This window comes from Homo sapiens, chromosome 4 (assembly GCF_000001405.40).
Source record: "Homo sapiens chromosome 4, GRCh38.p14 Primary Assembly".
Lineage (NCBI taxonomy): Eukaryota > Metazoa > Chordata > Mammalia > Primates > Hominidae > Homo > Homo sapiens.
In genome coordinates, this window is record NC_000004.12 from 40683672 (window position 1) to 40700078 (window position 16407).

The 16407-nt window shown below is 42.8% G+C and overlaps 3 annotated features.

Annotated features, from left to right (window-relative positions):
* Nucleotides 208-307: an enhancer, noted in NCBI's record as "active region_21496". NCBI's record gives its function as "activates an Ori minimal core promoter by ATAC-STARR-seq in GM12878 lymphoblastoid cells {active_cell/tissue: GM12878}" and the evidence as "EXISTENCE:reporter gene assay evidence [ECO:0000049][PMID:35858748]".
* Nucleotides 3471-3520: an enhancer, noted in NCBI's record as "active region_21497". NCBI's record gives its function as "activates an Ori minimal core promoter by ATAC-STARR-seq in GM12878 lymphoblastoid cells {active_cell/tissue: GM12878}" and the evidence as "EXISTENCE:reporter gene assay evidence [ECO:0000049][PMID:35858748]".
* Nucleotides 14840-15613: an enhancer, noted in NCBI's record as "NANOG hESC enhancer chr4:40700528-40701301 (GRCh37/hg19 assembly coordinates)". NCBI's record gives its function as "activates a minimal SCP1, AML or CMV promoter by ChIP-STARR-seq in naive H9 embryonic stem cells {active_cell/tissue: H9 hESC(naive)}" and the evidence as "EXISTENCE:reporter gene assay evidence [ECO:0000049][PMID:30033119]".

Here is a 16407-nt window from a genome sequence, read left to right on the forward strand (position 1 = left end):
TATTTCAAAATGTTGAAATTAGCCACCATCTTGGCTAATTTCAGACCAGCTGTTGCCCAGGCTGGTCTCGAATTCCTGAGCTCAGGTGATTCACCCACCTCGGCCTCCCAAAGTGTTGAGATTACAGGCATGAGCCACCATGCCTGGCCCATGATTCTTTTTTATTGTGGCAAAATGTACACAACGTAAAATTAACCATTTTAACCATTTTTAAGTGTGTGGTTCAATGGCATGAAGTACATTCACATTGTTGTGCAACCATCACCACCATCCATCTCCAGAACTTTTTCATGATCTCACACTGACACTCTGTACCCACTCACCAATAGTTCCCCTTTCCCTCCTCCTCCCAGCCGCTGGTAACCACTGTTCTACTTTCTGTCTCTATAAATTTAAGTCAATAAGTTTTAAGGTAGCTTGTTAGGTAGCAACATATAACTTTACATAGATGTTAATAGGTTTATTTAATGATCAGCTTTTAGAATGTATTAATGTTTTTGTTAGTTTATTAAACACCAGGGAGTTGAAGTATCAGAAACTAATGAGGTGTTCAGAGCAGGTCCCTTTGTTATTTGTACATTTAATTCTCCAGTGTCATGGCCTATAGTGATATAGGTAAGATTATAATTATACTTAACATTGACTTTAATGTAGAGAAGGCAGTTTCACATGTAATATATCACTTATCTTTCACAACAGCCGTGTGAGGTAGAATTATTTTTTTCATTTTATAGATCAAGGGACTGAGGGTCAAAGAGTTTAAGCAACTAGCCCAAGGTCATAGAGTGGAACAGGTTGGTCTGCAACTATTTTTTGATTTCTCCTACTTGGGAAGGGCAATGGAAAGGGAACCCAAAAGACAAGCCAGCAGCTTAAAAGAGGCAATGCAAGCTCTGTCCTTAAAGGGCATCTGCTCCCCTGGGGAACATGTGTCTGCCCAGGGGAAAGTCCTTTAATAATGTACAACAGCAACCAAGAGGGCGCCCAGTGACTTGTTTTATAGGCTATAACTGGGTCCCATATTAAGAAACAATTTTCTTGGCTATATTTGGGGCAGGAAGAAGATGATGAAGCAAGCCAGGTACAGTCTATGAAGTAAAGCCACAGAATCGTGTCTTACTGATAAACGACACATAAAATCAATTCAATGGGTCACAAGCAACAGGTTTTCCAAACATGAAACAGAGCAGAATTCACTGCAATAGTAAGAGCCAGTGTTTGTCTGTAGGCTTTGTTTCAGTTTTATATGTACACACATGCATGCACCTCCATAGCCATGCCATTTGGGAACTGGGTCACAAAATGTATTTCTTTCTGTGGATGTTTGGGAAAGCATTTGAAAATCACTGCTTTTGAGCCGAGATCATGCCACTGCGCTCCAGCCTGGGTGACAGAGTGAGACTCCGTCTCAAAAAAAAAAAAAAAAATTCTGAGAAGATTTAGGTCCCTGCTTCCACTTTTTCCCAAGGAAGGCCACAGGGATGGGAGATGCAGAAGGAAAGACTCTCTCCTTTTGTAAAAGATCCAGTTTTTTTGCTTATATATTTTCGAGGTCACTAGGAATAGACAAGCACTATCTTTGAAAGGTAGCTAATGTACATTTCAAATTTGAGACTTACCTTTAGATCCCCATCCAGGTCCATATGTCTATAGTCATGAACCTCCCATGGCTTTATGCTCATGAAGTAAATAATAAACGGAAATGGTCTATGTGTGACAGTGAAGTCACAGCACCTCCACCACATACACAGTTCCATCCATATAATTATGCTTGTATAGAAAGATACTTGGGATTCCTTAGGAGTTAAAACCACACAATTGGCTGGGTATGGTGACTCATGCCTGTAATCCTAGCATTTTGGGAGGCTAAGGCAAGCAGGTCATGTGAGCCCAGGACTTTGAGACCAGCCTGGGCAACAGCAAGATCCCATCTCTTATGAAAAGAAAAATTAAGAATTTTTTTTTTTTGAGATGGAGTTTTGCTCTTGTTGCCCAGGCTGGAGTACAATGGCGTGATCTCGGCTCACCACAACCTCCGCCTCCTGGGTTCAATCGATTCTCCTGCCTCAGCCTCCTGAGCAGCTGGGATTACAGGCAAGCATCACCACGCCTGGCTAATTTTTTGTATTTTTAGTAGAGACGGGGTTTCTCCGTGTTGGTCAGGTTGGTCTCAAACTCCTGACCTCAGGTGATCCGCCCGCCTCGGCCTCCCAAAGTGCTGGGATTACAGGCGTGAGCCACCACACCTGGCCAAAGAAATTTTTTTAAAAAGCACACAAGCATGGTGATTCTTTACCCTGACCTGAAGACATGAACTTCTTGTCAGCAGGATTTCAATCCAGGATCCTATGCGGAGGGAGAGAAGCTGGGCCAGTGACCACTGGCAGCTCCTGGACACTAAGAAAATCTCCGTGGCAGAAGACAAGGGAGCCCAGATATTGCCAACAGCCATTGTTTAAAAAGAAAAAAAGAGTCATAGAGCTTCAGTAACATGGCTCTGCTTTGCCAATATCAGCAGGAAGACAGGTGCAGAGAGATCTGAGACCTTTCCCCATAGACAGTGCCCAAGAAATGTCCCCAAAGCTTGTGCTGGTTGCCAGGCTGGGCTGAATCTGGAGCATTTCCAGGCATACTCAAAGAGGCCCAAAAGTGACATGTGAACTTAGCATATCTGTTTTCAACCTTCTTCTTCTTTTTTTTTTTTTTTTTTGACACAGGGTGTCTTTATATTGCCCAGGCTGGCCTGGCCTCAAGCGATCCTCCCACCTTGGCCTCCCAAAGTGTTGGGATTACAGGCATGAGCCGGCACGCCCAGCCTGTTTGCAATTTAAGAGTAGAAATTGTTTTCATCAAACAGAAAACATCTGTGTCTGTTTGAATTTCAAACAAAGTAATGCTCTTCAGGTCTGATTTGAGCAAATTCATTTTCAGTGGGGAACTCTACATCTTTGTTTAATTTAGGGAGAGTATGAAGGGATTGCTTGAGTTGCTCCATTTTTATTTTCTCATGGGATAGAGAAATGTATGTGATTCAATGGCTAATTTCGTTTCATGGTAGTTTGTGGGTTTTGTTTTTATTTTCGTTTTTATTTTTGTTTTTGTTTTGACAGAGTCTCGCTCTATCGCCCAGGCTGGAATGCAGTGGTGCAATCTCTGCTCACTGCAACCTCTGCTTCCTGGGTTCAAGTGATTCTCCTGCCCCAGCCTCCTGAGTAGCTGGGATTACAGGTGCCTGCTACCACACCTGGCTAAGTTTTGTTTGTTTGTTTTAGTTTGTTTGTTTTGAGACTGAATCTCACTCTCTGTTGCCTAGGCTGGAGTGCAGTGGTATGATCTCGGCTCACTGCAACCTCTGCCTCCCAGGTTCAAGCAATTCTCGTGCCTTAGCCTCACGAGTAGCTGGGACTCCAGGCATGAGCCACCACACCCGGCTAATTTTTGCATTTTTAGTAGAGACGGGGTTTCACCATGCTGGCCAAGATGGTCTTGATCTCCTGACCTAAGGTGATCCACCCTCCTTGGCCTTCCAAAGTGCTGGGATTACAGGCGTGAGCCACTGTGCCCAGCCTTTTTTTTTTTTTTTGATTTAAATAACTTCTTCAAAGAAGATGCCATTTATAGATTTGAATATTACCCAACTCTGGCCAGGCACAGTGGCTCACGCCTGTAATCCCAGCACTTTGGGAGGCCAAGGAGGGTGGATCACCTGAGGTCGGGAGTTCGAGACCAGCCTGACCAACATGGAGAAACCCCATCTCTACTAAAAAAAAAAAACAAAATTAGCCAGGCATGGTGGCACATGCCTGTAATCCCAGCTACTAGGGAGGGTGAGGCAGGAGAATTGCTTGAACCTGGGAGGCGGAGGTTGTGGTGAGCCGAGATCGCGCCATTGCACTCCAGCCTGGGCAACAAGAGGAAAACTCCGTCTCAAAAAAAAAAAAAAAAAAAAAAAAAAAAAAAAAAAGAATATTACCCAACTCTTTGGTTATGATAAAAAGCACAGAAAGGAACAGACTAAAGGGGAAAGTAAGACCAGATTTATTAAAGGGTAGTGAATTATATTATTAAAACCAGTGACTCCTCCCTCCTTCCTTCCAAACTAACCCCAAACTCAGCTTATCTAAGTAAACCAAAGGAAATTTAATCTTAGCCTCTACTATAGATTCAGTACATTCTGGCTGACATTTTAAACCCTGTTAGAAATCTGGTTGGTGTCCAAGCACATGCAATAGTAGAATGGAGCAATCATGTAGATAACTATCTCATTTTTCTTTCACTCTGAAACATTGACAATGATTCTTTGTAAAATGTCTCAGGACATTGAAGGAAGCTATCGACAAACATTTTGCAGAAATCTGTCAAGAGTTGATTACTGCAATTTATATAATGTGGAAATTTTATTTCCCAGGCTTCATGTATTGCATGATTAAAACATGCGTGAAAGGAAATGGGTCTCTAGGCTGCCAAACGTATGAGCAACCAGGAGTCAAGGTGAAGGTTTAAAGGGTGGTGTTTTCAGCTCCTGAGAGGACAAAATGATGACCTCAAATGACACAGGCAGAACTACCAGATACACACTGGTCCCCTCCCAATGTGGGCAAACATTAACTGGCAAAACAGGAGAAATCCATACCTCCCTTCATTTCTCAGAAATCCTTGCAGCCATGCCAGTTTAGGTGGGGAGTACCATGTTGGAGTTCCATGCTATGTAGGTAGGGATAACACAAACATCTGAAATTCACAGACAAATTCAAGCTCTTATTTTAGCAATTTACTTTCAACTGAATTAGTTTCATCAACTCTGCTAACCAAAAGGGATACTGTAACCAAGGCCTATGTTGTAGGCAGGAGTCCACCCTCTTTTCCATTCACATCCTGCAGAAGGAACTACTGAGTCACAAAGTACGTGAATAAAGTTGCCAAGGCCATGGCTCAGTTCTAAGCTGGATGGAAACGCTTTGGAAACTGAACATTGGAGTGCAGTCAGAAGACTTCATTACAGTGTCACACAGCACACCAGGTTTACCTGACTCATTCTCAGAATCAACCACCCAAGGCAATTTTAGATTTTTTCTTTGATAAGTCTCAAGTCTTTTTAATGTGGGGAAGAGACATATAGATAATTTAATTCTACTCACTGTAGGGTTTTTATTTGAGATTTTACCTATGCCCACCTACTCTTCCCCGTATAAACAGTAAACGATTCTCACCATTTCTCTGGATATACACAGTAAAGTCATGCTTGCAAATGACAAATGAACACTAGGGTACTGTCTTGCTCATACTCTTCAACAAGCATGATGACATTTTCTTTCATAACATTGTACTCTAACATGACAATCTTTTTTTTTAATTTCTGAATTTTTTTTTTTTTTTGAGGCAGGGTCTCGCTCTGTCACCCAGGCCGTTCAAGTGCCACAATCTCTGCTCACTGCAATCTCTGCCTCCCAGGCTCAAGCCATACTCCCACCTCAGCCTCCCAAATAGCTGGAACCACAGGTGTATGCCACCATGCATGGCTAATTTTTGTATTTTTTGTAAAGATGGGGTTTTGCCATGTTGCTCAGGCTAGTATCAAACTCCTGAGCTCAAGCGATCTGCCTGCCTCGGACTCCCAAAGTGCTGGGACTACAGGCGTGAGCTACTGCGCTCAGCCTAAAATGTCAATCTTAATTAAATTATTTGCTTAGGTTAAGATTATCTGGAATATATATATATATATATATATATATATATTTTTTTTTTTTTTTTTGAGACGGAGTTTTGCTCTGGTTGCCCAGGCTGGAGTGCAATGGCACGATCTCGGCTCACCACAACCTCTGACTCCCGGGTTCAAGTGATTCTCCTGCCTCAGCCTCCCAAGTAGTTGGGATTACAGGCATGCACCACCATGCTCAGCTAATTTTGTATTTTTAGTGGAGATGGGGTTTCTCCATGTTGGTCAGGCTGGTCTCGAACTCCCGACCTCATGTGATCCACCCGCCTCAGCCTCCCAAAGTGCTGAGATTACAGGTGTGAGCCACCGCGCTCAGCTATGTGCAATATATTTTTAAAGCATTTCTGGATGAACACTTATTTCAAATGAGCGCGCACACACACATACACATACACACAAAATCAAAGCAATCTTTTTTCTTTTTAAAGAAAATTCTTTAAAAAGGTGGCCCACAACTGTAATCCCAACACTTTGGGAGGGTGAGGCAGTGGATCACTTGAGGTCAGGCATTTGAGACTATCCTGGGCAACATGGCAAAACCCACTCTTTGCAAAAACAAACAAACAAAAAAAAAGTCAATTCTTTTCAGAGCCATAATTTCGAATAGTCACCATGTCTGCATGAATCCATTTTTTTGTTATTAACTTAATATAAATGACTAAAGGTCATTTTCCATAGAAATGCAAAGTCCAGCTGGCCTGGTGGCTCACACCTGCAGTCTCCACTAGTAGGGAGGCTGAGGTGGCAGGATTGCTTGAGCTCAGGAGGTCAAGGCTGCAGTGATCATGCCACTGCACTCTAACCTGGATGACAGAGTGAGACCTCAACTCTGAAAAAAGAAAAAAAAGAAATACGAAATTTAAAAATGTATAGTGATTCCTTTCCTCACCTCTGTTGAACTTTCATTACTGGGTGAAGAGAGATCATGCTTTCATTTCATCAGGCATTTGAGAGATGCCACCACTATGGTTCTATTCATAAAAATCTCCATGTAGGAATAGTATTGTATAGTTCACAAAGTATGCAGCTATTATCATCTTATGATCCCTACAACATCCGTGAAAGGCCAGCAGATCAGGAATTCTAATCTCTACTTACAGATGGGAAACTGAAGACGGAAGAGATTTGCCCAAGGCTGTGGCACACACCAACTCACAAACTGGGATTCAAATCCAGACCTTCTGGTGCCTAATCCACTCTCTTTTCTGTATATTTTGCTTCCCCCTCCCCAGCACTTTCTCCCTGCAAAAAGAAGATATTGATGTTTTGAGACAGACTAAAAATCTCATTTGCCTGCTTCCCCCTCTAAAAAAAAACACAGTAAGTAACTTACCAGGTGTGTTCAATGTAGTTTGCACCTCTGTGCTACAACCAATATAGGGGCATTTATCAACAGGACTGGCATTGTATTTATCAACAGGACTGGCATTGTATGGTGGGGATGAAGTCTATGCAGCCTTTGGGGAGACCTGGCAGCAGCTTCTCTGTTGTGTCCTTGGAGGAGTTCCAGTGCACTGCAATTGGACAACAGCAACCAAATGTTGCTCCCAATCCAGCCCCAGTGGCTCCCAGCTGCCCTGGCCTGCTTTCTCATCTGGTAAAACACAGGAGTTGGGGAGAAGGTAGCTGGCACTGGAAAAGTTGCTACTGGATGAAGGGTTGGCATAGTTCCTTATAGACACTTAAGATGGGGAAAGAAGTAGAAGATGGGAGAGATTGGCCACAATTTTTGGAACTTGCCCCGAAGGAAGGGGCCAGGAAGCTTTTGCACAAGGTAGCAGAACATGAAGTGCTGGTTCTGGTTCTCCAACTACAGCTGGTGAGCTGGGGAAGGAGTTTAAGAGGTCATCAAGTCCACCTTTCATTCATCCATTCATTCATTCATCTGTTCATTCCTTCAAATGATTATTGAACACCTAGAGGTGCTTAGGATACGGTAGGGAACAAATCAAAGTCCCTGCCCCCGAGGAGTTTACATTCTAGTGGGGAGAGACAAACTTTTTTTTTTTTTTTTTTTTGAGACGGAGTCTCGCTCTGTCGCCCAGGCTGGAGTGCAGTGGCGGGATCTCGGCTCACTGCAAGCTCCGCCTCCCGGGTTCACGCCATTCTCCTGCCTCAGCCTCCCGATTAGCTGGGACTACAGGCGCCCGCCACTACGCCCAGCTAATTTTTTGTATTTTTAGTAGAGACGGGGTTTCACCGTTTTAGCCGGGATGGTCTCGATCAGGGAGAGACAAACTTTAAGCAAGCAAAAAAATACAGGCATTCTTGGAGATTTTGTGGGTTTGGTTCCAGACCACCACAATAAAGTTGATATTGCAATAAAGTGAGCCACATCAATTTTTTGGCTTCCCAGTGCGTATAGAAGTTATTTTGTCCAGATCTATCAGAGGAATCACTATTGATGCAAGCTTCAGCCCCTTATGAGATCATTTCTTTCTTTCGTTTGTTTTTTTTTTTTTTTAGTCAGGGCCTTGCTCTGTCATGCAGGCTGGAGTGCAGTGGCAATCACAGCTCTCTGCAGCCTCAAACTCCTGGGCTCAAGTGATCCTCCCACCTCAGCCTCCCGAGTAGCTGGGACTGCAGGCACTTGCCACCATGCCTAACTAATTTTTTTTTTTAATTGTAGAGACAAGGTTTCACCATGTTGCTCAAGGCTGGTCTGGAATTCATGGGCACAAGTGATCCACCTGCCTCGTCCTGCCAAAGTGCTGGGATTACAGGCATGAGGCACTGCATCCTGCTGAGATCTATCTCTTAAATAATGGGACTTGAAAGTCGAAATTACTCTTGATCCATAGGCTGCAGAATGAAAGTTGTGTAAGCAGGCATGAAAACATTAATCTCCTTGTACATCTCCATGAGAGATCTCGGGTGAATAAGCACATTGTCATTGAGCACTAATATTTCTAAAGGAATCTTTTGTTCTGAGCAGCAGGTCTCAATGGTGGGCTTAAAATATTCAGTAAACTATGCTGTAAACAGGTGTTCTGTCATCCAGGCTTTGTTATTCCATTTATAAAGCATAGGATGAGGAGATTTAGCATAATTCTTAAGGGCCCTACGATTTTCAGAATGGTAAATAAGCATTGACTTCAACTTCAAGTCACCAGCTGCATTAGCCCCTAGCAAGTCAGCTTGTCCTTTTAAGCTTTGAAGCCAGATATTGACTTCTCCTCTCTAGCTATGAAAGTCCTAGATGGAATCTTCTTCCAATACAATGTTGTTTTGTCTATACTGAAAATCTGTTGTTGAGTGTAACCACCTTCATTGATAATCTTTGCTAGATCTTTTGGATAACTTGCTACAGCTTCTACATCAGCACTTGCTGCTTCATCTTGCACTCTTATGATACAGAAATGGCTTCTTTCCTTCAATCTCATGAACCAACATCTGTTAGTGTCAAACTTTTCCTCTGCAGCTTCCTCTTCTCTCTTAGCCTTCATAGAATTGAAGAGAGTTAGGGCCTTGCTCTGGATTAGGCTTTGACTTCAGGAATAGTGTGGCTGGTTTGAGCATCTATCCAGATTACTCAAACTTTCTCCATATCAGAAATAAAGTTGTTTTGCTTTTGTATCATTTGTGTGTTCACTGGAGTAGCACTTTTAATTTCCTCCAATAACTTTTTCTTTGCATTCACAATTTGGCTGCAAGAAGCCTAACTTTCAACCTAACTTGGCTTTAGACATGCCTTCCTCACTAAGCTTAATGATTTATAGGTTTGTTTGTTTTTTGTTTGTTTGTTTTTTTAAGATGGAGTCTACTGTGGCTCAAGCTGGAGTGCAGCGGTGCGATTTCGGCTCACTGCAACCTCTGCCTCCTTGGTTCAAGCTGTTCTCCTGCCTCAGCCTCCTGAGTAGCTGGGATTACAAGCATGCACCACCATGCCAGGCTAATGTTTGTATTCTTAGTAGAGACGGGGTTTCACCATGTTGGTCAGGCTGGTCTTGAACTCCTGACCTCAAGAGATCTGCCCACCTCGGCCTCCCAAAGTGCTGAGATTACAGGCGTGAGCCACCATGCCCAGCCCACTTCTAGCTCTTGATTTAAAGTAAGAGACATGCAACTCTTCCTTTCACTTGAACACTTAGAAGCTGTTGTAGAGTTATTAATTGGCCTTATTTCAGTATTGTTGTTTCTTAGGGAATCGGGAGGCCTGAGGAGAGAGATGGACAGCTGTTCAGTGGAGCAGTCAGACACGTACAATATTTACTGATTGAGTTCTCAATTTAATATGGGTAGTTCATGGTGTCCAAAACAATTACAATAGTAACATCCAAGATCACTGATCACAGATCACCATAACAGATATAATAATAACAACAATTAAAATATTGCAAGAATTACCAAAATGTGACACAGAGACCACGAAGTAAGCACATGCTGTTGGAAAAATGGCACCAATAGACTTGCTTGACACAGAGTTGCCACAAAACTTCACTTTGTGAAAAGTGCAATATCTGCAAAGCACACTACGGCGAGGTATGCCTGTAGCATGTCAGCTGGTGATAAGTGCTGTGGAGAACAGGAAAGTCGGGTGAGAGGAAAAGGGGCTGTTTGGGGCTAGAGGTGATCTTATATATGCCAGTTAGGCTGATAACGTGCTGACTACTGACACTGACATCTGAATGGAGACTTGAAGGAAATGAGGGAAGGAGCCATGAAAATATCTGATGGGAAGAGAATTCTAAGGAGAGGGAACATCAAGTGAAAAGACTCCACTGCAGGGAGTATTTGGCATGTTAAAGGAATAGCTAGGAGGCCAGTAGGGTTGGAGCAGCAGGAGGTGGGAAATTGTAGATGAGGTCAGAGAGATTGTGGGTCCTGGACCTGCAGGACAGCATTAGGCTCAGGGGAGACAGAGGCCCACTGGAGGGCATGGAGCAAGGCAATGATAGAATCTGACTTTTAAAGAATCCTCCCAGCTGCTGTTGTGGAAAACATCTTGGGGCTATGCCATGGAACATGATGGAAATCTACTTCATTCTTGGAAGGTCTTGTATATGACTCAGTTGCCCTCATTTTTTAGGTGGGTTTTTATGCTTCTCCCCAGACAGATTTCCATCTATTTGTTTCCTTTCCAATCATCAGATTCTTTAAAATGCAAAATCTGATTTTGTCATCCTCCCTTTGCAACCCCTAACTTCTTTAAAAACAAAAAAAAACAAAAAACAGGTTCTCACTCTGTTGCCCATGGTGGAGTACAATGGCACCATCTCAGCTCACTGCAACCGCCACCTCCTGGGTTCAAGCAATTCTCCTGCCTCAGCCTCTCGAGTAGATGGGACTACAGGCAAATGCCACCACACTTGGCCAATGTTTGTATTTTTGTAGAGACGGGGTTTCGCCATGTCAGCCAGTCTGGTCTTGAACCCCTGGCCTCAAGTGATTCGCCCGCCTCAGCCTCCCAAAGTTTTGGGATTACAGGTAAGAGCCACCCAGCCATTGATCCATTTTCTATATTTAAAATCAGAGAGGCTTCCTCCCCCTTTTAAAATTAGGCATATAGAGAATCTATCTTTAGTAGATTAATGATCCATTATCTTAACAGCTGGTATGAGTGTTTACTATATGGTATTCCCTGTTTAAGGTATTTTGAATGTTTATAATATTACATTTATATATTATTTGATACTAGAACAACTATATATAATATGTCTTTTTGTTGTGGTGGTGATTGTTTTTTTGTTTTTGAAACAGAGTCTCAGCTGGGTGCAGTGGCTCAAACCTGTAATTCCAGCACTTTGGGAGGCCGAGGCAGGTGGATCACCTGAGGTCAGGAGTTTGAGACTAGCCTGGCCAACATAATGAAACCCTGTCTCCACTAAAAATACAAAAATTAGCTGAGTGTGATCGCGGGCACCTGTAATCTCAGCCACTCAGGAGGCTGAGGCAGAAGAATTGCTTGAACCCGGGAACCAGAGGTTGCAGTGAGCCAAGTTCATGCCACTGCACTGCACCCTGGGTGATAGAGAGAGACTCTGTCTCAAAAAACAAACAAACAAACAAACAAACGAAACAGGGTCTCGCTTTGTCACCTAGGTGGGAGTGCAGTGACACCATCTCGGCTCACTACAACCTCCACCTCCCAGGTTCAAGCGATTCTTGTGCCTCAGCCTCCCAAATAGCTGGCACTACAGGTGCGTCACTACGACTGGCTAATTTTTGTATTTTAATTTTTATTATTTTTTTTTTGAGACAGAATGTCGCTCTGTCGCCCATGCTGGACTGCAGTGTCGTGATCTCAGCTCACTGCAACATCCACCTCCTGGGTTCAAGCAATTCTTCTTCCTCAGCCTCCCAAGTAGCTGAGATTACAGGTGCCTATCACTCACCTGGCTAATTTTTGTATTTTTAGTAGAGACAGGGTTTTGCCATGTTGGCCAGGCTGGTCTCAAACTCCTGACCTCAGGTAATTCACCTGCCTCGGCCTCCCAAAGTGCTGGGATTATAGGCGTGAGCCACTGCACCCGGCCCCAGCCATCAACTTTTCAAAGTCAGTTGCTCTAAGGAAAAAGTCCAGATTCTTTTTTGTGGCCTAAAAGGTCCTGCAAGATTAAGCCCTTGCTCACTTCCCTTTCCTTTGAGCTCTACTCTGTCTCCCTTTTTCTACCCCAGCCACAGTGGTCCTCTTTTGGTGCTTCCCGGTACAATGCCTTCCCCCAGATCCTTTCTTCTTCCTGTTATATTCTTCGCTATGTCTGCATGGTTTATCCCAGTATCCTGTACCCGAGAGCTCCAGAAACTGTTGAATTAGTTAATTCATCAATTACATGTGGTACATAAGTGAAATCACTACTGAATCCATGGTGTGGAGTTATTTCTATTTTGGAAGAAGGCTCCGATTTCACTAATACTGAAATTTCATTTAGTATTATTTTAAATTATTTGAATATATTTTGGAGTGAATATATGTGATATTAACAAACTATGTGATTATATTTTTGAACACCTTTCCTAGATGTTATCATTCTAATTCACCTTGCCACAACATTACAGCATAATACATTACATATCCTCTTCAATATAGGCTTGTTCCGTGAAAAGGCACAGAGGAAACTTAAATGCATATTGCTAAATGAAAGAAGTCAATCCTGGCTGGGCGTGCTGGCTCATGCCTGTAATCCCAGCACTTTGGGAGGCCAAGGCAGGAGGATCACCAGAGGTTAGGAGTTCAAGACCAGCTTGGCCAACATGGTGAAACCTTGTCTCTACTAAAAATACAAAAATTAGCTCTACGTGGTGGGACACGTCTGCAATCCCAGCTACTCAGGAGGCTGAGGCAGGATAATCGCTTGAACCAAGGAGGCAGATGGTTGTAGTGAGCCGAGATCACGCCACTGCACTCCAGCCTGGGCAACAGAGTAAGACTTGTCTTAAAAAAAAAAAAAAAAAAAAGGAGAAAGAGGACAATCAGAAGGCTTCTACTATATGTACAATGCTACATACTGAATGATTCCAACTACATGGCATGCTGGAAAAGGCAAAACTATGGAGACAGTAGGAAGATCAGTGGTTGCTAGAGATTGGGCAGAGGGAGGGAAGAATGAATAGCCAGAGCACTGGGGGGTGGTAGGGCTGTAAAACTATTCTGTATGATACTACAATGGTGCATACATGCCGTTATGTATTCGTCCAAACTAATAGAATGACCCACACCATTAGTGAACCCTAATGTAAACTGTGGACTGTGGGTGATAATGAGGTGTCAATGTAGGTCCATCCATTGTAGCAAATGGACCACTCTGGTGGAAGATGTTGATAATAGGGGAGGCTGTGCATGTGGCGGAGCAGGGGTATATGGGAAATCTCCGTACCCTTCCCTCAAGTTTGCTGGGAACCTAAAATTACTCTAAAAATTGTCTTTAATTTAAAAAGGCATATATATACACATACATACATACATACGTAGGTATACATACATATATGCATGTATGTATACATATACATGCATATATGTATGTGTATATATATATGCTTTTTAAAATTAAAGACAATAATTATACATATATATATATATATATACACACACACACATACATATATATGCTTATCATAAATTTTAGTGGGAATTCTTCACCTGTAATGGATTTCCCCATTTTAGTATCTTATTAACAGTCTGGGCATAGTGGCTCACTCCTATAATCCCAGCACTTTGGCAGGCCGAGGCGAGCAGATCACTTGAGGTCAGCAGTTCCAGACCAGCCTGGCCAACGTGGTGAAACTCCATCTCCACTAAAAATACAAAAAATGAGTCAGGCATGGTGGCAGGTGCCTGTAATCCCAGCTACTCGGAGACTGAGGAAGGAGAATTGCTTGAACCCAGGAGGCCGAGGTTGTAGTGAACTGAGATTGCGCCACTGCACTCCAGTCTGGGTGACACAGCAAGACTCCATCTCAAAAAAAAAAAAAAAAAAACCAGAAAGATTAGTTCTCCCTGTGTTACCAGAGGTATATTAATTTGTCTAATACTCTGTTGATATCTTTTAAAATTCAGGAGTTGTGCTGTTCAATATGGTATGGTGGCCCAGCCACATACGTGGTTTAAATTTTAAATTAATTAAAATCAGATTTTAAAAAAATGCATCCCTCAGTTCTGATGTGAATAGTGGATACCACAAATATAGAACATTTTTATCACTGCAGAGAGTTCTGTTGGACAGCCTACCTCTCACATCTCCCTCGTGCTTTGATGTATCTTCTGTTTCTGAGGAGGTATCTGCAACAGGGTGACAATGACTCTGTCAATCACCTTTCTTTCAGTGCCTAGTTTGTGTCAAGCAGTAAGGTAGTAAGAGAGTATCTTATATATGTACTTTTTTTTTTTCGAGACAGGGTCTCACTCTGTTGCCCAGGCGGGAGTGCAGTGGTGCGATCTCAGCCCACTGCAACCTCCACCTCCCAGGTTCAAGAGGTTCTCCCACCTCAGCCTCTCGAGAAGCTGAGATTACAGGTGCATGCCACCACACACAGCTAATTTTTGTATTTTTAGTAGAGACAGGATTTCACCATGTTGGCCAGGCTGGTCTTGAAATCCTGACCTCAAGTGATCTGCTAGCCTTGGCCTCCCAAAGTGCTGGGATTACAGGGGTGAGCCACTGCGCCTGGCCTTATGTACATATTATCTTATTTAGTCCTCATAGGATTCAACCATGAGTCAGCTCAAGGAGACCATTCTATAAGATCATTGTAATAAATCAGAAATCTGATGACCATTAACTCAGATTTCCACCCCCATTCCCTACTCAACAGGCAAAATGTAAATTGGGCTACTCTGCCTGTGGGATGGCCCTGCTCTGTCCATGGAGCAGCCAAAAAAAAAAATATGTCTATATACGTCTAAACATTTTTAAAAATGTAAATTGGTCTCAATCGCATCAGATCATACAGAGCCCTTGAATGCAAATAAAAGATAATTCTTGTTAGTGTGGCATCTGTGTCTTTTCAGAATCTGGAGGGCTTACAAGTTCAATGACCACAGGGCACTAACCCTGAGGCCTAAGGCAGCCAGGGGAGATTCAAATCTGGAGCAAAACAATGCATGGGCTTAGTGTTCTTTACTGAGGAGGACTTTACTCTTTATCATTTAAATTATAACAGCTTTAATCTATCCCTTAACAAAAGGTCTGCTTCAGGAAAGTATACACACAAACATGTATATGTGAGCATACAGACACACACACAGAGACAAGAACAAGATGGGAGGGGTTTGTTTTTGTTTTTGTTTTGTTTTTGAGATAGAGTCTCACTCTGTCACCTAGGGTGGAATGCAGTGATGCCATCTCAGCTCACTACAACATCCGCCCCCTGGGTTCAAGCGATTCTCCTGCCTCAGCCTCCCGAGTAGCTGGGACTACAGGCCCGCACCACCATGCCCAGTTAATTTTTGTATTTTTAGTAGAGACAGGGTTTCACCATGTTGGCCAGGCTGGTCTTGAACTCCTGACTTCAGGTGATCCGCCCGCCTCAGCCTCCCAAAGTGCTGGGATTACAGGGGTGAACCACCGCACCCAGCATCTCAAATGTATTTTGAATTAGACTTAATAAATATATCTATATATGTTGGCCTAATCTTTGGTGGCTAAGAGTAACTGACAGTTCCAAGAGATGCAAAAAACTGCAAAATAAAAGGTGATTCAAAATAACTTCATGTAAGAAATATTTTGAACATTAAAAAATGATGAGCAATTTATTTTTGTCAATAGGAAAACAATTTCTCTTCACTCCCACTAACAGTAAATAAATATTTAAGGAATATTGGTTTGAAATAAAGACACTAAATTAATAATACCTGGGATGCTCTCATGTACTAGCTCGGCCCTAGAGATAACTATGTTTACTGCCATTTTACAGATGAGAAAACTGAGGCTCGAAGAAGTTAAGTGCCATATTTCTTGGGTAATCAGTGGTAGAAATTGAAACTTGGGACGAATCTACTCAAGAATTCCATTCTGACTCCCTGTTGGGTAGACTTGACTCTGACTCATCTTTCTCTGATTTTTGTGGTTGAAATTCTGATTGAAAAGAGAATGTTAGAACATCCATTTAAAAACCTGAACTTGTACTTGAAGGAAACAGCTAGGACTTTTTTTTTAAGATGTCGCCCAGGCTAGAGTGCAGTGGTGAGATCTCAGCCCACTGCAACCTCCTCCTCCCGGGTTCAAGCGATTCTCATGCTTCAGCTTCCCGAG